General features: G+C 43.0%; 1 protein-coding gene across 1 annotated transcript in view, besides 2 other annotated features; it reads right to left on the reverse strand.

Moving 5' to 3' along the window:
• The window catches only part of POLN (DNA polymerase nu), a 170,204-nt gene that overhangs the window by 68,359 nt on the left and 76,898 nt on the right, over positions 1-24,947 (reverse strand). The window contains exons 14-16 of the mRNA NM_181808.4: positions 18,879-18,935; positions 17,582-17,635; positions 16,512-16,577 (exon numbers count right to left, since the gene is read on the reverse strand). Of these exons, the coding sequence (NP_861524.2) occupies positions 16,512-16,577; positions 17,582-17,635; positions 18,879-18,935 (177 nt within the window). The remainder of the gene's footprint in view (positions 1-16,511; positions 16,578-17,581; positions 17,636-18,878; positions 18,936-24,947) is intronic.
• Positions 1,436-1,515: an enhancer, noted in NCBI's record as "active region_21164". NCBI's record gives its function as "activates an Ori minimal core promoter by ATAC-STARR-seq in GM12878 lymphoblastoid cells {active_cell/tissue: GM12878}" and the evidence as "EXISTENCE:reporter gene assay evidence [ECO:0000049][PMID:35858748]".
• Positions 1,771-2,292: an enhancer, noted in NCBI's record as "OCT4-NANOG-H3K4me1 hESC enhancer chr4:2143774-2144295 (GRCh37/hg19 assembly coordinates)". NCBI's record gives its function as "activates a minimal SCP1, AML or CMV promoter by ChIP-STARR-seq in naive and primed H9 embryonic stem cells {active_cell/tissue: H9 hESC(naive and primed)}" and the evidence as "EXISTENCE:reporter gene assay evidence [ECO:0000049][PMID:30033119]".

Consider the following 24,947-nt stretch of genomic DNA (forward strand, 5'->3'; position numbering starts at 1 on the left):
CCTTGTTGGTCAGGCTGGTCTCGAACTCCTGAACTTATGATCCACCCGCCTCAGCCTCCCAAAGTGCTGGGATTACAGGTGTGAGCCACCGTGCCTGGCCAGGATTTGTTAAATTGATGCATGGAATAGGTTTAAAATTTGTAACTCTTATTTCTGCTGACTGTAGGAATAAAATAATTTGCCACTTGGGCTGGACGCAGTGGCTCATGCCTGTAATTCCAGCACTTTGGGAGACCAAGGTGAATGGATCACTTGAGGCCAGGAGTTCAAGACCAGCCTGGCCACCATGGCAGAGCCCCATCTCTACTAAAAATACAAAAATTAGCCAGGTATGGTGGTTGTACATCTGTAATCCCAGCTACTCAGGAGGCTGAGGCATGAGCATTGCTTGAATCAGGGAGGTGGAGGTTGCAGTGGGCCAAGATGACGCCACTGCACTCCAGCCTGGATGACAGAGTGAGATTCTGTCTCGGGGAAAAAAAAAAATTGCCACTTGTGGAGGACACAGCTATTTGGGGCCACACAATACTTTCTTTTCCATTTTGTTTAGAAAATGGCACTCGGATCTTCATGACGGTGCCCACCACCCCCCTCCTTTAAGCCAACCAGCAGACTTCATCGTCAGGCCGTGGAGACACAGGGAGACACTTGCCAAGGCATCTGTGAGACGCACTTCTTCATCCTTCTGTGAAGCTGCATGAGGCGCTCTGCATCCCCACTGGAGAGAAACCCAGCAAGCACCGCCCAGGCCTGCTGGGACCCGTGGGGAGGCTATGCAAGAAAGAGGCTGAGGAAAGGGCAGAGAGAAGCTGGGTGTGCCCATATAATGTAGGCTGCCAGATCAGACCTTGCCTGAAGCTAGCCCTTCTTCGGCCTTCTAGGTCAGGTAAGCTGAGACATACCCTTAATTGTTTAGGTCAGCTGAGTTTGGTTTTGTGTGATCTGCAACTGAAAGTCTGCCTGAACACATGGATTGTGGTATTTTAACCTCCAGTTTAGACATGTGGGGAAAGCACTTGGTCAGTGTGGCATTCACAGCTGGTGGATTCAGAGCCCAGCTGCTCTCCCCTCTCTGTCCTTCTCCTTCCACTCACACTTCTGCTTCCCAAGGTGGTGTCTGGGGTGGTGGATGATGCTGGGAGCCTACATACCCCCCGGCACCTGAAGAGAGGGTCCTGTGTCCCCAGCTGTGGCCACCCTGTCCTTGTGGGCCTCGGCTGCCCATGTCCTTGCCCTGTCTGCTCTGTTGGTGAAGTGTTCATGAAGGACTGCGGTGCGTTCTGTGCTCTCAGCACGGCCAGCATCTGGCATATGTCCTCTGCCAACTGGGCCCTGGTGCTGGCTCTGGCGACACTGTTACCTCCTGAAGCTCAATGGCACCCTCCCTGTGCACCTGGCTTTTGGCTGTCCATCTCACAGCTCTCCTCCATGAACCAGTGAGAACCCAGAAAACATGGGCAGCCTTGGTTTCCATACCAGGGGAGTGCAGGACCCCAGGACCACAGGAGCTTCCAGCCCCCTCTCAGGCTCCTTGGAGAGCTCGGCCCCCTCGGCATGGCACTCCTGGAGACTGCGACCCAGCCTGTGGGGCGCTGGCATTCCCCTCCTCTGGCTTTCCACCCACGCTCTGAGTTTCTAACCCAGAGGGGCCAGAGGAAGTCAGAGCCTTTCAAAGACTCTTTCAAAGTGTGCTCAGCTCTTGGTTCTGCTCTCATGCTCTCCCCCTCAGCACCTCTTCCAAGCCAAGGAGGTACCCTCTCCCTCCTGTGAAGTGGGTCTCTTGCATCCTCTCTACTCAATGGCTTCCTTTATAATGTTAAACTCTAAAAATACAAGGCTTTGAGTCTTGATATTTAAAAGGAAGCTTCTGAAATTCAAAAATTAACAAAACAAAACACTTTTTGATCTCTCATGCCGATACTTTTCTTGTTTCTGCTGTGCCCTTTCACAAGTTCTAGTTGAAAGCCAGAGCTGAACACTGATTCCTTTATTCTCAGCTGTAACTCCCTCTCCCTCTGAAGTAATAGAGGCCTCAGCCCTACTGGGCAGGCAGTCTCTAAGTAGCAAGAGGTGCTGGGAACAAAATATGCACTGGAGGGTTTCTCAAAACTACCCCTGTGCTATCAAGTATTTTGTTCGATTAAAGCTGCCAATAAGGAGACTTCTGCTTCCAGGAAGGTTGTGTAAACACGTTCCCTATCCCTGTCCCAAGATACAACTAAAACCCTGGGCAAGTGTAAGAGACTCGGAAAGGTGGAGAAAATACGGCAGACTGGCTAGGGACCGTGGGACCCAAAGAATCTCACAGAGGTGAGTCCCAGGTTTCTTTTTGCCTAATGTGTCCCAGACAAGCCAGTAGCCTGGAAATGCCAATAACCACAGACAAAAACAACAACAAAACAAAACAAAAAAACAAAACCTAACAAAAGCCTGCTCTCATTAGCCAAAGGACCAGGAAAAGGACAGCCTAGCGAGAAAGAAAACCTTTAGACAATAACTATACTACTCCAGCCAAACACCACACAAAAACCCGTGATTGTGGTTTTTTTTTAATCCCCCACCCCCACCTCCGCCATCCTTGATACCCAGCCAAGATTTTTTTGGTAATTTTCCATCTACTGAACCCTCACCCCCTCTGTTGGTTATAAATCTCCAGCTGCCAGTGTGGTATTTGGAGTTGAGTTCAATCTCTCTCCCCTGTTGCTATAATCTTAAATAAACTCTCCCTTACACGTTTAACTCTGATGCAATTTTTTTTTGGACAAACTATAACATGTCAAAATGTATGGGTTAAAGATAGAGCAGTGCTGAGAGGAAAATTTATAGCACTAAAAATGCATACATGAGAAAAAAGAAAAAGTCTCAAAGCAATAATCTAGGCTTATACCTAAAAAGCCTAGAAAAAGAAAAGCAAAATAAACCCAAATCAAGCAGAAAAAGGAAATAATATGGAAATCGATAAATTGAAAATAGAAAAATAGTAGAGAAAATCAATGAAAAGATCAATAAAATTGACAAAACTCTCAGTAGATTGACAAAGAAAAAACAGAGAAGACACAAATTATGAATATCAGAAATGAAACCAGGAATATCACTACAGACCCTAAGACATCAAAAGGATAAGGAAATGTTATGAAAAATCACACGCACGTAAATTTCACAACTTAGACAAAATGGACCAATTCTTCAAAAAGCAAAAACAACTGAAATTCACCAAATATGAAAGAGATAATGTGAGCAACTGTATAACTATTAAGGAACTTGAACTCATAATTTTAAAACTCCCCAAAAATAAATATCTAGGCCTAGATGATTTCATTAGAGGATTCTATCAAATATTTAAAGGAGAATTAACACCAATTCCACGATATCTCCCAAAAAGCACAAGAGGAAGGAACACTTCCCAATTCATTTTATGAAACTAGTAGTACCCTGAAACAAAAACCAGATGAAGACAGATTAATATCCCTCATAAACATACACACAAAATCCTTTAATAAATATTAGCATATAGAATTCAGTAATATATTTAAAAATATATGATCCAACAGTTGACTTGTGCACACTTATCCCAGAAAAATAAAGACAAGTACACACAAAAACCTGTATATGAATGTCTTTGGCAACCTTATCTTAATAACCCAAAACTGGAAACAACCCAGATGTCCTTCAAAACTGAAGTGCAACTTATACCCAGCAACTTCAGGTGGTAATACATTGCCCATGGGAACTTAATATATTGTCTTCAAAATATCATATATTTTAAATATATGATTTAAATATATGATTTTGAACAACCAATAACTTTCCTTAAAGTTGTAAAAAGGGTCTTCTATAAAATACATATTCACTGTTAAAAATTTGTTCTTTTTTTTTTTTTTTTTTTGAGATGGAGTCTCACTCTATCACCCAGACTGGAGTGCAGTGGCGTGAACTCGGCTCACCACAACCTCCACCTCCTGGGTTCAAATGATTCTCCTGCCTCAGCCTCCCACGTAGCTGGGACTACAGGCACGTGCCACCATGCCCAGCTAATTTTTGTATTTTTAGTAGAGATGGGGTTTCACTGTGTTGGCCAGGCTGGTCTTGAACTCCTGACCTTGTGATCTGCCTGCCTCAGCCTCCCCAAGTGCCGGGATTACAGGTGTGAGCCACCGCCCCTGGTCCTAAAAATATTCTTAAGAAGACTCTTTTCTTAACTAGAAGAATTCATTCATTGTATTCATCAAAATCCTGCCACGTGCCAGCTATTATGAAAAATGCTAGTTCTTCAAACACATAACCTACAAATAATTAATATTTAAATAATATATACACTACTGGAGGAAATTCCGTTACCTAGTGAATATAGGCTGTAAGAATGAATGCTACATATTTTTCCTTAAAAATTGCTCCCCCACACCCCAATAATCCGTTAGCTGTATTTAGCACTCGATAACTAAGATGTAAGTCCCTGGTTTTACTCTTTCCTTCAATAACATTTAGCGATTACCTATCAACTGGTAGACACTGTGCTTGTTTCTTGGAATAAAATATTGAAAAAATTCAAGGAGCCTACAGTAGAGGGAAGGCAATCCCTAGCAACGGAACGATGACCACGTTAGGTAGTCGACACTCTGGGAATACACATCTGTAATGAAACTATTGGAAGTTAAAAGAGTGGTAAGAATATGGAAATAGACCAAAGGCACAGAATTGAGAGCCTAGAAACAGACCTATGCATTTGTCAAAATTCACAAATGACAGAGGCATTACAAATTACTGTAGTTCTTACAATAACAATAGCTATAACAAACAGTTACCCAAATGGAAAAATAATCAGATCGCTACCTTAGACCTAAATAAAAACAAATTCCAAGGGAATTAAAGACTCAATGTAAAAAGTAACTTTATTAAGAGAGAATTTGCTATCATAGAACACATTATAGGCGAAAAAAAAAGAGAATTTGAGGATCTTTATGATCTCCAAGTAAGATAGGGTTCCTTAAATGAGACACAGAGAGGTACAAACCTTAAAGGAAAAGACCACAAATTTGACAATATTTTTTAAAAATCTGTAAATCAAAGACATAGAATCCAATCTGAGAAAAACAAACCAACCACAGACTGGGAGAAGATAATTATATAAGGGCACAAAAGACTAGTATTCATAATACATAAAGAACTTTTACAAATTAATAAGAAAAAGACAAACCACTAAACTGAAAATGGGCAAAAGAAATAAACAAGTGAGTCATTGAAAAAATTCAAATGACAAATAAACATAAAAATACACTGACCCTCATTACTAATAAAAGTAATGTGAATTAAGTCACAATAAGATACTAATCCACACTCATCAAATTGGCAAAAACTTAAAAATCTGGTAATACCAAGTGCGGTGGTCTGTAGGGCGATGAGGTCTCTATCACACTGCAGGTGAGAACATGAGTCAGTCCACTCATTTGGAGGGTGTTTAGTGATGTCAGGAGAGTTGAATACCAGCATGCCCTATCGTCAGGCAATACTGGTGAGGTGCTAGAGAAACCCTCGCACATGTTCATAAATACTCTTCCCAGCATTTACTTTTTTTCTTGCAGCATTGTTTTTAATAGTGAAATATTGGAAACAACCTAGTATATCTGTACAATGACATACTATATAGCAGCCAAGATGAATAATTTAGAGCTACGTCTGTCAACACAGATAAATCTCAAAAACATAATGTTGAATGAAAACAGCAAATTTATAAGTACAATATGCTATAATTTATATAAACTTTAAAATAGCAAAAAAAAGACAATCTATCATTTAAGGAAATATATATATTTAAGAAAATATAAATAAATAAATAAATGCACGCATTAAAATGGGATGATAAAGACTAAATGTAGAATAGAAAAGGGAGCTGAATTGGGAAGAACACACTTGGGAAAGGATTAACAGGGGCTTTAAATGTTGTCAAGTAGGCCAGGCGTGGTGGCTCACACCTGTAATCCCAGCACTTTGGGCGGCCGAGGCAGGCGGATCACCTGAGGTCAGGAGTTCCAGACCAGCCTGGCTAACATGACGAAACTCCGTTTCTACTAAAAATACAAAAAAATTAGCCAGGCGTGGTGGCACGCACCTGTAATCCCAGCTACTTGGGAGGCTGAGGCAGAATTGCTTGAACCCAGGAGGCGGAGGTTGCAGTGAGCCAAGATTGCGCCATTGCACTCCACTTGGGCAACAAGAGCAAAACTCCATCTCAACAACAACAACAAAAGCACTCAAGTAATGTTGAAGCTTTTAAGCTGAATGATGAATACACACATGATCACTGTATTGGGCTCTATAGCTTGTTACTAGGAAAAGGGGTATCTCACTGAGCTCTGGTGTGGGGAGGGGCAGGCAGATAGGGGCAGGGGGCTGAACAAGGCTTTTGAGGACATGTCCCCTGCACTGAAATCAGAAGAACTAACGGGCAGCAGCCAGGCCAAGAAAGCTGGGCTTAAAGATATGTTCATGGATCTAGGGGCAGAAAAAGTATCTCGACAGAGGTAACAACAGCAATGGCTTGAAGGCAGGCGAAAGCATGAGGAATCAAGGAAACAAATTATATCAAAGTATTACCACCATAGGACAAAATGTTAATTTGGCTCCATCCCAGCTAGATACTAAAAAGCTAGTACAAACATGCTAATGCAACAGTGAGCATATATTTAGGAAAATAAAAAAACTAAGGAGGAGAAAGACTCACCAACCAAGAAACCAAAGCAAATATCCAGCTAAATAATCCCTAGATTTTAACATTTCCAATTAATATAGCTATAACATTTTTAAAAATTAAATACTACGCTGCAAGAAAAATGAGAACTCAAGATACTAAAGAATTCATAAGAATACAATGTGAAAGATCAGATATTTTGAATTACATAATGTTGATAAATTCTGAGCCAGTATCATGAGTGGCACTGTAGTGAAATGAGGACATTGACAAAAACTGGCTCTGCTGATGCAGAAACATTAGGAGAGACCTCAAAGCCACGTGTGATAAGGAGGTATTAGATTTAAGAATGTGGCTCCTGGCAGTGCAATGAGAAAAAAGGTCCTCAACACCTTCCCATGAGGAGGCCTTCGTAAAAAATGACAGTTCTAAGAGGGGCTTTCAAAACAAGGATTGACAAGATGATCCCTAAAGTATCTGAGTTGGGGAAAGAGGAGGATTTAGAAAAACAAGACTCCATGACCAATCCATGCCCAGGGTGAAGAGGGTGACAGTCCAGCATGGAGAACAGATTGGCCCACACTGTCAACAGGCCATAATACTGATCATGACCCCAAACCAAATGATTTTGAGACACTGAAAGACAATTCAAGAGTAGATCAGACATCCAGTTTTTCTTTTCTTTTTTTTTTTTTTTTGAGACAAAGTTTCACTCTTGTTGCCCAGGCTGGAACACAATGGCGTGATCTTGGCTCACCGCAACCTCTGCCTCCCAGGTTTAAGCGATTCTCCTGCCTCAGCCTCCCGAGTAGCTGGGACTACAGGTGCACACCACCATGCCCAGCTAATTTTTGAATTTTTAGTAGAAGTGTGGTTTCTCCATGTTGGTCAGGCTGGTCTCGATCTCCTGACCTCAGGTGATCTGCCTACCTCAGCCTCCCAAAGTGCTGGGATTACAGGCATGAGCCACCGTGCCCAGCCCGGTTTTTCATTCAATACACACTTGGTGCCTACTGCATTCCAGGTACAGAGCCAGGCTTGGGGAAATGTCAGTGAAGCACACAGAAAAGGCTCCCATTCTCATGGAATTTACAGTCCAGTGAGGTGAACAGAAGTGCAGGATGTTATAATACAGTATAACGAGCACTATGCTAGAGGAAGTATAGGGAATATCTAGGAGGACACAGACTGAGGTTCTAATAAAGCAAATATTGAACTAGAGCAATCAGTGAACTAGACAATATAGTAATAGAAACTATTCAAATTGAAACAGAAGAAAATCCAAGGAAAAGAATAAAAGTGAGTCTCAGTGAGCTATGGACAAATTCAGTGAGCTATGGGACAAATTGACCTAATATATGTAATTATAAGTGGAGTCCCTGATGGAGAGGAGAGAAAAGGAGGCCCATAAAAAGTATGTGAATAGGCCGGCTACGGTGGCTCATGCCTGTAATCCCAGCACTTTGGGAGGCCGACGCGGGTAGATTACAAGGTCAGGAATTTGAGACCAGCCTGACCAACATGGTGAAACCCTGTCTCTATTAAAAATACAAAAATTAGCTGGGCATGGTGGCATGCGCCTGTAATCCCAGCTACTCAGGAGGCTGAGGCAGGAGAATTGCTTGAACCCAGGAGGCGGAGGTTGCAGTGAGCCGAGATTGCACCACGGCACTCCAGCCTGGGCGACAGAGCGAGACTCTGTCCCCCCCCCAAAAAAAAAAAGTATGTGAATAAATAATCACCAATAAATTTTCAGGTTTGATGAAAACCATAAACCAAAGATCCAAGAAACTCAATGAATCCTAAATACAAGAAACATGATACTATATCATAATCAAATTTTTCAAAAATGGTGATAAGGTAAAAGCAGTAAAGAAAAAAGACACATTATGTGAAGATAGTGATGAAAGACTTCCTATCAAACAATGTGAGAAGAAAGTAACATCTTCAAAGTATTGAGAAAAAAAACCTTTTAACTGAGAATTTTATACCTCGCAAAAATAACTTTCAAAAACCAAAGGTGAGGGCTGGGCACAGTGACCTGTCACTGTGGTTACAGGCTGGATGTGGGTATGTAATCCCAGAACTTTGGGAGGCTGAAACAGGCAGATGGCTTGAGCTTAGGAGTTCAAGACTAGCCTGGGCAACATGGTGAAACCCCATCTCTACAAAAAATACAAAAATTAGCTGAGCGCAGTGGTATGCGCCTGTAGTCCCAGCTACTTGGGAGGCTGAGGCAGGAGAATTGCTTGCGCCTGGGAGGCAGAAGTTGCCATGAGCTGAGATCGCACCATTGCACTCCAGCCTGGGCGACAGGAGTGAAACCCTATCTCAAAAACAAACAAACAAACAAACAAACAAACAACAAAAACCCAAAACAAAAAACAAAACCAAAGATGAAATAAAGACATTTCCAGATCTACAAAAGCCAGGGGAATTCATCAATGGCAGACCTACAATGCAGGAAATGTTAAAGGATGTCCTTTAGGCAGAAGGAAAATGATGCCAAAAAGAAACCTGGTTGTAAACAGGGAAATGAGGGCATTGGAAACAGTAACTACATGGGTAGATAGGATTTTTCTTATTATTGGAATCTATGTTGCCCAGACTGATCTTGAACTCCTGGCCTAAACGATATAGGATAGCAAGACCCATCTCTAAAAAAAATTAAGAAGTTAGCCAGGCACAGTGGCATACATCTGTGGTCCTAGCTACTCTGAAGGATGAGGCAGAAGGATCACTTGAGCCCGGGAGTTGGAGGCTGCAGTGAGCTATGATTACATCACTGTACTCTAGCCTGGGCAACAGAGTGAGACCTGTGTCTAAAAAGAGAGAGAGAGGGCCGGGCGCGTTGACTCACACCTGTAATCCTAGCACTTTGGGAGGCCAAGGAGGGCGGATCACGAGGTCAGGATTTTGAGACCAGCCTGGCCAACATAGTGAAACCCCGTCTCTACTAAAAATACCAAAAATTAGCTGGGTGTGGTGGTGGGCTCCTGTAATCCCAGCTACTCGGGAAGCTGAGGCAGGAGAATCGCTTGAACCCGGGAGGCAGAGGTTACAGTGGGCCAAGATCACGCCACTGCACTCCAGCCTGGGCAACAGTGTGAGACTCCATCTCAAAAACAAAAACAAAAACAAAAAACAAAAAACAAAACAAAACAAAAAGAAGTGGGAGAGAGACACATACACACACACACAAATAGTTTAAAAGTAAAAGAATAGAAAATACCATGCTAATATTCAAAGAAAACTGGAGTGGTTATTTAACATTAATATTAAATTATATTTTTATTAATTGTATTATTTCCAAAATTATTCTAACATTTTATTAGCTAATATTAAATTAATATTTTAATATTAGACAAAATAGATTTCAAAGCAGAGAACAATACCAGGGATAAAAAAGGTTATTTTATCAAAATAAAGTGGCCAATTCTCCCCAGATTGAGTTCTCGATTCAAGGTAATCCCAATGAAAATCTCAGCAGGCTTTTTTGTAAAAATTGACAAACTGCTGATTATAAAGTTCATATGGAAATGCAAAAGACCAAAGACCCAAAATAACCTTTTTTTTTCTTTTTTAAAAAAACAATGTTGGAGGACTTACATGCCCCAATTTAAAACCTTACTCGAAAGCTACAATAATAAAGACAACGCACTGCTGGCAATGGTAAGTATATAGATCAACTAGACTGAGTTCAGAGTACAGTATTAAACCCTTATATTGATAGTAAATGTATTTTAGACAAAGGCGCCAAGGTAATTAAATGGGAGGAAAGATGGTCTTTTCAAGAAACGGTACTGGGACAACTGGATGTCCACTTGTAAGAAAGATGATGTTAAACACTCACTTTACACCATATACAACAGTCATAGCTCTAAATGTAAAGCCCAAAACTATAATACGTCTAGAAAAAAATGTAGAAAAAATACTTGTGATTTTGGTTTACACAAAGGTTTCTTAGATACAATATCAAAGCATGATCCATGTAAGAACTCATTGATAAATCAGAATTCATTAAAACTTAAAACTTCTGCTCTTCAAAAGATGGTGTCAAAAGAAGACAAGCCACAGATTGGAAGAAAATATCTGCCAAGAATATACCTGCTAAAGGACTTGTATCTAGAATATATACAGAACTCTCAAAACTTAATGATAAGAAAATAAGCAGTCCCTTTAAAATACGCAGAAGGTATGACTAGGTGCTTCACTGAAAAAGAAAAATGACTGGCAAATTAACACATGGAAGGACTCTCAGCAGTAGTGATCAGGGTAATGCAATGAAAACTGCAATGAGACACCACAAGACATCTAGCAGAATGGCTCAAATTAGAAAGACCGGCCAGATCAAATGCTGCTAGGAGTGTAAAAGAAGTAGAATTCATACACTGCTGGTAGGAATGTCAAATGGTAGAACCACTCTGGAAAAACAGTTTGGCAGTTGCTTAAAAAGTGAAATCTACACCTACTGTATGACTAGCTACTTGACTCTTTGGTATTTAACCAAGAGAAAAAAAAGTATCTATCCATGTAAGGACGTGCAGTCAATGTGTGTAGTTAATATCCCAAACTGAATAATATCCCCAAACTGGAAATGACCCAAATATTGATCAACAGGTGAACTCATAAACAAAGTGGGGTACACACAGTCCATGGAACACTACTGAGCAGTAAAAAGAAATGAGCTACTGAAACACAGAGCAACGTAGCTGAAGCTCATAGTAACAACGCTGTGAAAGGAGCCCGACAGGAGGAGTCCATGCTGTGTGGCTCCATTCACAGAGGTTTCCAGAAACTGCAAACGAATCGATAGTGGCAAACAGCAAGTCAGTGGTGGCCAAGGACATGGGTAAAAGATGAGGAGTGGGGAGGGAGATATTACAAAGAGACACAAGGATACTTTTGCACAACTGGTAGCAATGACTCTTTTTTCCTTCTTTTTTTATTTCCATATAAAGGACCAGAAGCAATAACTTTCTCTTAGGAGGGGGTGTGTGTGAGAAAATTAGCTTTCTGAAAATACTGAGAACCAGCTATAACCTAAACCTAATTTTCTTTTTTCTTTCTTTCTTCTTTTTTTTTTTTTGAGGTGGGATCTCACTCTGTCACCAGGCTAGAGTGCAGTGGTATCATCTCAGCTCACTGTGACCTCCTCCTCTCGGGCTCAAGCAATCCTCCCACTTCAGCCTCTTGAGTAGCTGGGACCATAGGCGTGCACCACCATGCCCACCTAATCTAATTTTCTGTATTTTGGGTAGAGATGAGGTTTCACCATGTTGTCCAGCCTGGTCTCGAACTCCTGAGCTCAAGAGATCTGCCCACCTCAGCCTCCCAAAGTGCTAGGATTACAGACATGAGCCATTGCACCTGGCCTGATTTTTTTTTTTTTTTTTAGGAGACAAGGTCTTGCTCTGTCACCTAGGGTGAAGTGCTGTGATGCGATCACAACTCACTGCAGCCTCAAACTCCTGGGCTCAAGTGATCCTCCTGCCTCAGCCTCCCAATTAGCTACCATGCTCAGCTAATTTAAAGCATCTTAAAATTTATGTAGAGATGGGGTCTTGCTATGCTGCCCAGGCTAATAATCTGATTTTTAAAAATATTAGTCAACTGTATTTTGTGCACTTTAAGCAAAAAAAAAAAAGTAACTGAAATTCTAGCCATTTTATGGCATTATCATGTAACCTACATAGTATTTTCTTAAATAGTGTGCAGCTGGATTCAAGTTTTATGTGTAAAAAAATGGAAGCACAAATGTTCTATCAGAAAACAGAGGTGAGTATTTAAATAATCTTGGAGCTGAGGACAGCCTGTCTAAGATGACACTAAGACAGAAACAATGAGGGATGTCAGTACAGGGGAAAGTCACCATAGAGAGTGGAGAAAGCTCTGCCACACATTGCTCAGGGCAGAGACAGGCTGAAAGCATTTTGGAAGGCAATCTAATAAAAGCTATTAAAAGTAAAAATGTAATATCCTCTGTACCCAGTACAGTAATTACTCAGTAATTTCATACCTGAAAATCTGTCCCACAAAAATACAAGTACCAATACAACAGGACATACGTGCATGGTGTTCATTGCAGCTTTACTTTTAGAGGGCAACTGTACAACACACCCACATGTGGAACACAAATAGCTAGAGTGGGACAGGCCTCTGTCAGGTGAGCTGCAGGGATCTCCACAAGCTGTTGCTGAGAGCAAAAAGCAAGAGGCAGGAAAGGAAAATTCTAAATCTGTAAAATAAATAATGACAAAGTACATGTCTCTATGTGTATATGTACAGATATATATGGGCCTATATGAGATTGCATAATAAGTCAGAAAGAAAATATGGATATACAAGCTCTAGGCTGCAATCATGGGCTACCAAGAGCACTGGGATTGAGGGTGGAGGGCTGAGGTATGTAGGTGTGAGAGAAGTGTCTACAATAAAAACAACATATATAATGTGATCCCACTTATGTAAATGTGTGTGTGCATAAAGAAGTAAATTAGAGGATGGTTACCAAAATGTTAAAGATGGCTATTGCGGGGATATGGAGTTTTGAGTGACTTTTTACTTTGTTACTTACATTTTTATCTATTGTTTGAATTCTTTAGAAATATCATGTTATTTGTATAATTTTTTTTTTTTTGAGATGGAGTCTCGCTCTGTCACCCAGGCTGGAGTGCAGTGGCGCCATCTCAGCTCACTGCAAGCTCTGCTCCCAGCTTCACACCATTCTCCTGCCTCAGCCTCCCAAGTAGCTGGGACCACAGGCGCCCACTACCACGCCCGGCTAATTTTTTTTGCATGTTTAGCAGAGACGGGGTTTCACTGTGTAAGCCAGAATGTTCTCGATCTCCTGACCTTGTGATCCACCCACCTCAGCCTCCCAGAGTGCTGGGATTACAGGTGTGAGCCACTGCACCCGGCTGTTATTTGTATAATTTTAAAAAGCCATTTTAAGGCCAGGCGCGGTGGCTCATACCTGCAATCCCAGCACTTTGGGAGGCCGAGGCGGGCGGATCACAAGGTCAGGAGATTGAGACCATCCTGGCTAACATGGTGAAACCCTATCTCTACTAAGAATACAAAAAAATTAGCCGGGCGTGGTGGCGGGTGCCTGTAGTCCTAGCTACTCGGGAGGCTGAGGCAGGAGAATGGCATGAACCAGTGAGGCAGAGCTTGCAGTGAGCTGAGATCACGCCACTGCACTCCAGCCTGGGCGACAGCGAGACTCCATCTCAACAAAAAAAAAAAAAAAAAAAAAAAAAAGACATTTTAAGTATGGCAAACCAGAATATATATCTTAAAAGTTAAAAGGCAAAAGAAAATTGGAGGAAAATAATTCAACATTTCATAAAGGGTTAATTTTTATTATATAAAGAGCTTTTCCATACCAATAGGAAAAAATAAACACCCTCCAGAGAAATGGGCAAATGACATGAACAGGCAATTCAAAGAAGAATAATTGTTTCATGTAGTCAACCTCAACAAATATTTAAAGAAATGGAAATTGAAAAAATGAGTCAGGAAAGTAATCAAAACGAAAATTCCTTGTGTTGGCAAGGATTAAGGGACCAAGCATTTCACATACTATGTGGTGGGAATGTTATTTTTGGCGAGAGGCTAATTTGGCAACATAAAGCCTTAAAAATACATATATACTGTGACTCAGAAATTCTATCTCTAGGAAATTGCACTATAGAAATCAACAGAAAAAAGTACCAAAAATGTTCATGGTATTGGTTATGGTATTGCTATTGAAGTTTGTATGGTATTGCTATGATAAAGTACAGGTATGTTTATGGTATTTCTATAAAATAATTAAAACTGCAAACAATCTAAATGACCATCAATAGGGGCAGCCATTAAATGGAATACAATGCAGCTGTTAAAAAGATGACACAAACTTCCAGTTAAAGGTCATGGCTGAATGCACATGTTATGTTTACATCTCATCTTTCCAAAAGTTCAACTGAAATAACAGAAAAATAAATAGGTAAAATTAGAGCTTCACTGAGAACCTGGGAGGAGTGCTACTCACAAACCAGACCCTTCAGAAACTTCTGGAAGAGAATAAAACACAGCAAGAGATTTACTGAAAATGTAATGGAAAAAGAAACTTATAACTGCATAAAAACAAAAGCAAGGACCTCCACGAAAAGTTTCTCAGCAGAATTCCTAAATAACTCTTAGATAAGAAGTATCAACTAAGAGAAACTACAGCAGTTGTGGTTGGTTGAGAAATTAGCCCAAGGGTAACGTGGCAGCAGTGCCTGCATTCAGAGGAGATGGCACTGGTATTCACATGGATATTGGTGCTGGTATTGGTATTCACATTACTATTGCTATTACTACCACTCTTCGCTAGATAAAGACCCCAGAAGAGCTCCCTAAAGTGCAAGGCCAGAGACAGCTGGCAGCCCGAGAGCTGACTGACCAAGAGTGGGTGTCCATGCACCCAAGAGGCCACACGATTAGCGCAAACTCACCCCATCCCAGCCTCTCTTCCTCTTCCTCACACAGTCACCTGAGTGTGTCCCTCTGCCTGCATGCACTCGGTACACCATCTATGCAAATGCCTGGGTGAAGGCCTGACCCTTAATGGAGGGAACCCACGGGACAGACACATGTTACGGAGGGAAGGGAAAGATGACTAACATTTGCTCATTCTGTAAACCTCCACATACTTGTATTTCTTTACCATGAATACATATTCATATTTATATATATATGTTAGTGTGTACTTAAATAATTCACATATTTAATTCATATATTTAAATTTAAATATAGATTCAAATCAATATTAATGTAGAATGATATCAAGAGATGTTAAAATAAGAAAGCATAATATAAAATAGCATGGCTTTATTTTTGTAGAAAAAAATTGTATTTTTTTTTTGACAGAGTCTCGCTCTGTCACCCAGGCTGGAGTGCAGTGGCGTTATCTCGGCTCACTGCAAGCTCCGCCTCCTGGGTTCACACCATTTTCCTGCCTCAGCCTCCCTAGTACCTGAGACTACAGGCACCCGCCACCACGCCCAGCTAATTTTTGTGTTTTTAGTAGAGACGGGGTTTCACCATATTGGCCAGGCTGGTCTTGAACTCCTGACCTCATGATCCACCGCCTCGGCCTCCCAAAGTGCTGGGATTACAGGCATGAGCCACCGCGCCTGGCCTAAAAAATTGTATTTTATAAATATATGTGCTTAGCAAAAAGTGTGGAAAGATAGATACCACAGTTCTGCACAGTGGATAACAAGTGACTTATTACTATTTTTATTTCTTTTCTGTATCTAAGGAATTTTCTATAATGAGAAATTAATCATGAGTCTTTTTTAGTTCAAAATACAGAGCCATTTAGAAAGTTAAGTGCTTTAAGTGTGATGCAAGCTGCATCATAAGTTCAAGGGAATTTAGAGCTTTTTTTTTTTTTTTCTTCATCAGAGATACAGCTTCAACAACCACCAAAAAATGGAGCTGTTCATCATAGCATCAGATACTTCAACACATTTCTGGAAATCAGAAGCCACCTGTCTGGCACAAATCTGAAAAGGAAGATGGGGTACGGGTGTCCTTTTTGCCTGCACACTGGAGTGCATGGGTTTCTGGGTGTGAAGCCCCCCTCTTGCTAACTCAGCACTTCATGAGAAGAGAACCCATCTGTCTTGTTCTCCTGCTATGTTCTCAGAATAAACAGAATAAAACACAACATATCAGTATGAAGTCCCCTCTTGGAAACAGAAAGTGCACAGGCAAACACATATGGAGAAAAAACTTCAATAGCAAGGCAGGAAAATGGCGTTTAACAAAGACAGTTGTTTAAACAACTTACAGGATGCTTGGCTGAAAGTCTTCCAGTCACAGTTCCAGTCTGATTCCATGTAGAGGAAATGGAGCCCTTTATTAGTTAAAAAGAATCAGTGTAAACTCCAGCAATGCTATGTGAAGTTAAGAATGTGGCGGAGCCTCCACTCACAACATGCAACACTCGCTGCTCCTCCAGAGGCCAACAAGCTGCTGGCCCTAAACTTCCAACCCTGAAATGTCCTTGGGGTTACAAAACTCCTGACACGTGATCAGGGAAGGCTGAAGAAGGAGGTTTCCCCCTAACCCATGTAGGAACTGCCATAAGACTTTATGTCACTTACAAATCCCATGCATGGGGAGAGGAAGGGCTGTTGGGCTGTGGGGAGCTTGGTGCGGGCTCGAGGTGGGACTGTGCGTCACAGACAGGTTCTGTCACTTGCTGTGTGAACTTGAACGAGTCACAGAACATCTCTTGACTGCAGTCTCCTCAAGTCTGAACTAAAACAGTAACATCTTCCTCAAATGAGTCCAGAACAGAGATGCAATCGTGGATGTGAAAGCAGGTCAGCTAGAGCTTCCTCATAAACAGAGGGTTTCAAGGCATAACATCAACCTATGCTGCCAGGGGACCTAAATGATGCCAATATCATGGCTCATAGTTTCAAGAATATTAGATTATTTCGGCTGGGTGAGGTAGCTCACGCCTGTAATCCCAACACTTTGGGAGGCCGAGGCAGGCAGATCACGACGTAAGAGTTTGAGACCAGCCTGGCCAACATAGTGAAACCCTGTCTACTAAAAATAGCAAAAATTAGCTGGGCGTGGTGGCGGACACCTGTAATCCCAGCTACTTGGGAGGCTGAGGCATGAGAATTGCTTGGAGCCGGGAGGCAGAGGTTGCAGTGAGCTGAGATCCTGACACTGCACTCCAGCCCGGGCGACAGTGCAAGACTCTGTCTCAAAAAAAAAAAAAAAAAAAAAAAAGAATATTTAGACGATTTCATCATTTACTAAAATTACAAAGGTTCTATATGTATCTGAACTCATACAAAAACCACAGTCCTAATCACAGTATCTTTTTGTAAAGCTTGTTACCTTTTTCATGCAAGCTAGTAATCCATCTACAAAGGTTGACTTGATCTTGTGAACCTAAGGTGGAAAGACAAGAATAATCATTTTCTTTAAGTCTTAAGTCTTTTTTTGTGGGGGGAAGGAGTCTCGCTCCATTGCCCAGGCTGGAGTGCAGTGGCGTGATCTCGGCTTGCCGCAACTTCTGCCTCCTGGGGTCAAGTGATTCTCTTGCCTCAGTCTCCTGAGTAGCTGGGATTACAGGCATGCGCCACCATGCTCGGCTAAGTTTTATATTTTTAGTAGAGATGGGGTTTCGCCATGTTGGCCAGGCTGGTCTCGAACCTCTGACCTCAGGTGATCCGCCCACCTCAGCCTCCCACAGTGCTGGGATTACAGGTGTGAGCCACCATGCCCGGCCTAAGTCTTTAAACAGGAATAGTGTGAATAGTGTTTCACAGAGTGCCGGGCACGTGCTGCTACTATCACCTTAGATGACTCCGAGAGGCCCTGGAATGACCTTAGGTGGTACCAGGATTAAATAACACTGACCCACAGAGAAAGATGTCATTCCACTCTTTAAAAATAGATCTATTAATTCTAGAATCATTCTAGATTTACAGGAAATTTGCAAAGATAAACAGATAAACAAATACCCTGACACAGTGTCTCCTCTGGTGGCCCCTTTACATCGTTGCAGGGAGAAAGGGCCAGGCTGGAGCCAATGTGCTCCCTCACAGCTGCCAGGCCCTCAGGATACAGCAGGCCACAGGCTCAGTGAATACTAGGACCTATGCTGTGGGCAGTGGCAAAAGCTATAAACGTGGTTCACAACCAAAAGAGAACTTTGGAAGGAAATGGCAGGTGTGTGAACAGAGAAAGGGAATCACCAGGGGAGGGAAGGGGGCCACTCATGAAATCCCTGGCAAATGTAAGTGCAAGATGACACAACACTACTACGGTATGGTCTTGGCAGACCTAGAAGCCAGGGAGGGGTTGTGGGAGGCTTTGAGACTAGGTACTGCTGGGCGTCTCCTGCACACCGACGACACACAGCCGTGGCATGCCACCTACTTCCGATTCCTCATTGTCTTCTTCCATTTTGACTCCTGGGGTTCACGAGTGGGGCTGATTGCAGACTTCGGTAAAATCACATGGGGTACAAGTAAACAGTGCCAGTACAAGGTTAACCTGACAAAACTCTATTCCCCTGAGAACACTGGGAGGGCTACTTCAGCCATTATGGATTTGTGTTGACAGACACAGGGCCATATGGTTCCCCCTCATCACCTTTTACCTTTTACGTACAAAAAAATTAACTTACCTGCCTGTATTCCAAAATTATCTTGGGTAATGGATGAAGGTCTCGCAGAGCATTTAACTAAACATGAAAATAGATACTACCAATGTAATTCGTCCATTTTAACATTTTAAACACGTATTTTCATCTGGAGAAAGTCCTCATAATAAATGGTCTAATTGAGCATATTTTCCAAAATAAAGATGCATAATAAACTCAAGTTTATCAAGTGTCTTAATCCTAACCCCTTACAAAACCATTCTGATGTCTACATGGGCACTAAAAACACCTCAGTTAAGCTTGGAAATAAGATTCCTCTTGAGATTTAAGTTAGCGAAATCTAAATCCAGGGTAGGTAAAATAACATGTCAGTGCCTACAAACGTATAGCTCGATAACTGCATAATTTCAGGGAGGGAGTAATGGATTACGAGTTTAAAAATTAACTTTAAGAATCAAAATATAACATACCTATAGGAAAGTGCAAGAGAGTAAGAAAAGTTTGTTAATTATCACAAAGTGAGCACAGTTGTTAACCACCACCCACAGCGAGCGACGAAACATTCCAATCTCCCCAGTAGGTACTGGCTCCTTCCCCAGAGCTAACCACCACCTGGACTTCTACCACAGGTTACCTGTTTCCTGTCGTTGGTCCAATATCATTTTTTGGGGTTCATCAACATATGAAGCAGTATTTCATTTATTTGCACGGCTGTGTAGTATTCAAGTGCATGAATGTAGAACATTACCCATTCCACCTTTGATGGATATGTGTTTTTTTCCACCTTAGGGCTATTATGAATAATGCTGGTACAGAGATTTTTGTTAATGTATGTTCACAGTTCTGTGGAATACATACATGAAGAAGGGTGAAACTGCTGCATCAACTTTAGCAGAGATACTGCCAGTTCTCCAAAGTAAACATACCTGTTTATACCCCTTTCAGCAAAACATAAACATTCAAGCTGATCCACATTTTTGCCAATGTATGTCATCACTGGTGTTAATTTTAGCTGTTCTGGTAAATGAGAAGTGATCTCTCACTGTAGTTTTAGTTTGTTATCTCCCCAGTGACTAACGCTGTTGGACACTATTCATATATTTGACTAATTGTATATCTTCTTTCATTAAGCCCCTGTTCGTGTCTTTTGCTTAGTTAAAAAATTGATTTGTGTGTCTTTTTCTCCTTGGGTTGTAGAAATTTGTTATTCTGGACAGTTTTTTGGTCTGTTATATTTATTGGAAATATCTTCTCTCCTTCTGTGGCTAGCTTTTTTAACTTTTAATTTTTTTTTTACATAAGGTCTTGCTCTGTTCCCCGGGCTGGAGTGAAGTCGTGCAATCATAACTCACTGCAACCTTAAACTCCTGGGTTCAAGTGATCCTCCCCTACCTCAGCCTCCCAAGTAGCTGGACTACAGGTGCACACAACCATGTCTGGCTAATTTTTTAAATTTTTGGCAGAGATGAGGTCTCGCCATGTTGCCCAGGCTGGTCTTAAACTCCTGGCCTCAAGTGATCCTCCCGCCTTGGCCTCCCAAGGTGTTGGTATTACAAGCATGAGCCACAGTACCTGGCTTTTTCACTTATTTAATGATGTCTTTTCATAATTAGAGATTTTTAATTTGATTGTTGTCCTGTTTATCAAGTTTTCCCTTTATGGTTGATGCATTTGCTGTCCTACATATGAATGTTTACCTACCTCAAGGCCTTAAAGATGTCCTCTTGTTATATTTTCTCCAATCTTTACTATTTTGCTTTTGATATTTAGATACACAATTCACCTGGAATTTATGTTTGTGTGCTGCATGAAATGGGGGTCAAGATGCACTGGCCCTTTATGTAACAAGCCCTCCTTACTTAATGCTTTGCAGTGATGCCCTGTGAGACACACTCTCTCTCCCTCTCTTTCTTTTTGAGACAGGGTCTCTGTCACCCAGGCTCGAGTGCAGTGGTACTGAGAGGTGACACCGCGCTGGCACTCCTCACAGCCCTCCCTCGCTCTCGGCGCCTCCTCTGCCTGGGCTCCCACTTTGGCGGCACTTGAGGAGCCCTTCAGCCCACCGCCACACTGTGGGAGCCCCTTTCTGGGCTGGCCAAGGCGGGAGCCGGCTCCCTCAGCTTGCAGGGAGGTGTGGCGGGAGAGGCACGAGCGGGAACCGGGGCTGCGCGGGGCGCTTGCAGGCCAGCTGGAGTTCAGGGTGGGCGTGGGCTTGGCAGGCCCTGCACTCGGAGCAGCCAGCCGGCCCTGCTAGCCCGGGCAATGAGGGGCTTAGCACCCAGGCCAGCGGCTGCGGAGGGTGTACTGGGTCCCCCAGCAGTCAGCCCACCGGCGCTGCGCTCGATTTCTCACCCGGCCTTAGCTGCCTTCCATCAGGGTAGGGCTCGGGACCTGCAACCCGCCATGCCTTAGCCTCCCACCCCCTCCGTGGGCTCCTGTGCGGCTGGAGCCTCCCTGATGAGCGCCGCCCCCTGCTCCATGGCGCCCAGTCCCATCGACCACCCAAAGGCTGAGGAGTGCGGGCGCACGGCACCGGGACTGGCAGGCAGCTTCACCTGTAGCCCCTGTGCGAGATCCGCTGGGTGAAGCCAGCTGGGCTCCTGAGTCTGGTGGGGACGTGGAGCACCTTTATGTCTAGCTCAGGGGTTGTAAATACACCAATCGGCACTCTGTATCTAGCTCAAGGTTTGTAAATACACCAATCAGCACCCTGTGTCTAGCTCAGGGTTTGTGAATGCACCAATTGACGCTCTGTATCTAGCTACTCTGGTGGGGACTTGGAGAACCTTTGTGTGGACACTCTGTATCTAGCTAATCTGGTGGGGATATGGAGAACCTTTGTGTCTAGCTCAGGGATTGTAAATGCACCAATCAGCGCCCTGTCAAAACAGACCACTCAGCTCTACCAATCAGCAGGATGTGGATAGGGCCAGATAAGAGAATAAAAGCAGGCTGCCCGAGCCAGCAGCGGCAACCCGCTCCGGTCCCCTTCCACACTGTGGAAGCTTTGTTCTTTCCCTCTTTGCAATAAATTTTGCTACTGCTCACTCTTTGGGTCCACACTACTTTTATGAGCTGTAACACTCACTGCGAAGGTCTGCAGCTTCACTCCTGAAGCCAGCAAGACCACCAGCCCACTGGGAGGAATGAACAACTCCAGACGCGCCGCCTTAAGAGCTGTAACACTCACCGCGAAGGTCTGCAGTTTCACTCCTGAGCCAGCGAGACCACGAACCCACCAGAAGGAAGAAACTCCAAACACATCCGAACATCAGAAGGAACAAACTCCAGACGCGCCACCTTAAGAGCTATAACACTCACCGCGAGGGTCTGCGGCTTCATTCTTGAAGTCAGTGAGACCAAGAACCCACCAATTCCGGACACAGCACCATCTTGGCTCACTGCAACCTCCACCTCTGGGGCTCAAGCTATCCTCCTGCCTCAACCTCCAGAGTAGCTGGGACTACAGGTGCATGCCACCATGCCCAGCTAATTTTTTTGTTTTTTGTAGGGATGAGGTTTTGCCATGTTGCCCAGGCTGGTCTTGAACTCCTGGACTCAAGCAATCCTCCTGCCTTGGCCTCCCAAAGTGCTGGAATTACAGGCATGAGCCACCATGCCCGGCCCGATTTTATTTTTTTTTTACCTTTAAGCTCTGTTGGACTTGATGTTTGTGGATTTTCTATCTTGGTCCATTGGCCTATTTACTGACCCTCGAGTCAACACCACATGGTATTGCTTAATTAATTCCTAGTAATTCCTATTGCCTTATAAGTAGTCTTGATATTCAATAGACTATGTCCTTAAATAGTGATCCCCCGCGCCCAGATTATTTTGGCTCTTTTTAGTGTTTAGTATTTCCACAGAAATCTGAGAATCAATTTTTCAGTTCCTACCAAAAAAAAAAAAAAAAAAAAAAAACTCCTGCCAGGATTTTAATTAAAATTGTCTAGAATCTATAAATCCACTTGGGGGAGAACTGATTATATGATTTTGATGTAATAGGTGAACCATTAAATCATAGTGCTCTCTGAATAAAGACTGAGAACACAAGAGTTGTGGCCATAAAACATTAACAGTGGGCGGTATCTTGCCTCAGTATAATCCAGAATTGCAGTTTTTGTAGAAAAGCTATCCCTAGGTGGGTGAAAGTGCATGGAAATACTTAGCCAAGAAAACAGCTTAAGATCTTCTAACTCTCCTTATCTTGATGACTTACTCACAAAATAACTTTCTAACCAATAGTCTCCCAGTATATCTTGACTTGAGCAGCCTGAGAACACTGCTCGCACTAACCGTGTACAGAGCACTGAGTGCTGGCTGAGGGCCAGAGGTGGAGCGCCATCAGCCACCATGGCTCCGCGGGCTCACCCGCGCTCTGCGCCGGCTGCAGACACCACATTCGTCTGACCTCCCTTCTCACTCATTTCCCGCTGGTGCCTCTTCTCTCACTGACCTTTAAAGATCAGTTTCTCGGAGTTTAACTCTGTGGTTATCTATGCTGGCTGCGTATCGCAATCAACAGGGAGCTTCAAAAGCAGGCCCATGACTAGGCTCCCCCGCCCAATTCTGACTCGTGGGATCAGCTGTGGGCCTGGGCATCCGTGTTTTCCAAATCTCCGGGCAGGGCAGAGGACCATTATCCCAGGGCGACTTTAGTAAAAATCAGCTGGCAGCTTCCAAGTGTGGATTCCCAGCATGGGACTTGTCTTGAGCCCCGTCCCACAGGCCCAACTGCTGTTTTGTGATACGGCACATCAATGTGTCATATGCACTTCTGTCCTAACATATCCAAGGCTGAACACTGGACCTCCCCCTCCATAAACAGTTCCTGTTCCAGTTTTCCCTGAGTAGTGGCTGTATCTATTTGCCCAAGTGCACAACTCAGAAAACTCAAAACTACTCCACATGCTGACTTCTGTTCACACTCACATGAACTTATCACAAGGTCCTTTCTGTTCTAAAAATCCTCTAAAAATCCATCTGCTTTCCATCTGCTTTGCTCCATTTTCATTGCCATGACCTGGACTGCAGTGACAGCCTACTAATGAGTATCCCCCATTCTCCAACCAGCTAAAAGAGTGATCTTGGCTGGGCATGGTGGCTCACACATGTAATCCCAGCACTTTGGGAGGCAGAGGTGGGCAGATCGCCTGAGGTCAGGAGTTGGAGACCAGCCTGACCAACATGGAGAAACTCTGTCTCTACTAAAAATACAAAATTAGCCAGGCGTGGTGGTGCATGCCTATTATCCCAGCTACTAAGGAGGCTGAGGCAGGAGAATTGCTTGAACCCGGGAGGTGGAGGTTGCCGTGAGTTGCTATCACACCATTGCTCTCCAGCCTGGGCAACAAGAGTGAAACTCTGTCTCAAAAAAAAAAAAAAAAAAAGGCTGGGTGTGGTGGCTCACGCCTGTAATCCCAGCACTTTGGGAGGCCAAGGTGGGTGGATTACCTGAGGTCAGGAGTTTGAGACCAGCCTGGCCAACATGGTGAAATCCCATCTCTACTAAAAATACAAAAATTAGCCAGGCCTGGTGGTACACACCTGTAGTCCCAACTACTCGGGAGGCTGAGGCAGGAGAATTGCTTGAGCCTGGGAGGTGGACGTTGCAGGGAGCTGAGATCATGCCACTGCACTCCAACCTGGCCGATGGAGCAAGACTCTGTCTCAAAAAAAAAAAAAAAAAAAAAAAAAAAAAAAAAAAAAAAAGAGTGATCTTATAAAAACATACCCAACACCTATTAGAATGGTGAAAATCCAGAACACCAACACCACCAAGTGCTGGCAAGGATGTGGAGCAACAGGAACTCTCATTCATTGTTGAACTCTCATTCATTGTTGGTGGGAATGCAAAATGGTGCAGCTACCCAGGAAGACAGTTTGGCGGTTTCTTACAAAACTAAATGTACTCTTATCATTTCATCCAGCAATCATACTCTTTGGTGCTTGCCCAGATAAGCTGAAAATTTATGTCCACCTAAAAACCTACACACAGATATTTATCTCCGCTTTATTTGTAATTGCCAAAACTTGGAAACAACCAAGATGTTCTTCGTAGGTAAATGGAAAATAAACTGTGATACATCCACG

This window comes from Homo sapiens, chromosome 4, assembly GCF_000001405.40.
Source record: "Homo sapiens chromosome 4, GRCh38.p14 Primary Assembly".
In the NCBI taxonomy this organism is placed as follows: Eukaryota; Metazoa; Chordata; class Mammalia; order Primates; family Hominidae; genus Homo; species Homo sapiens.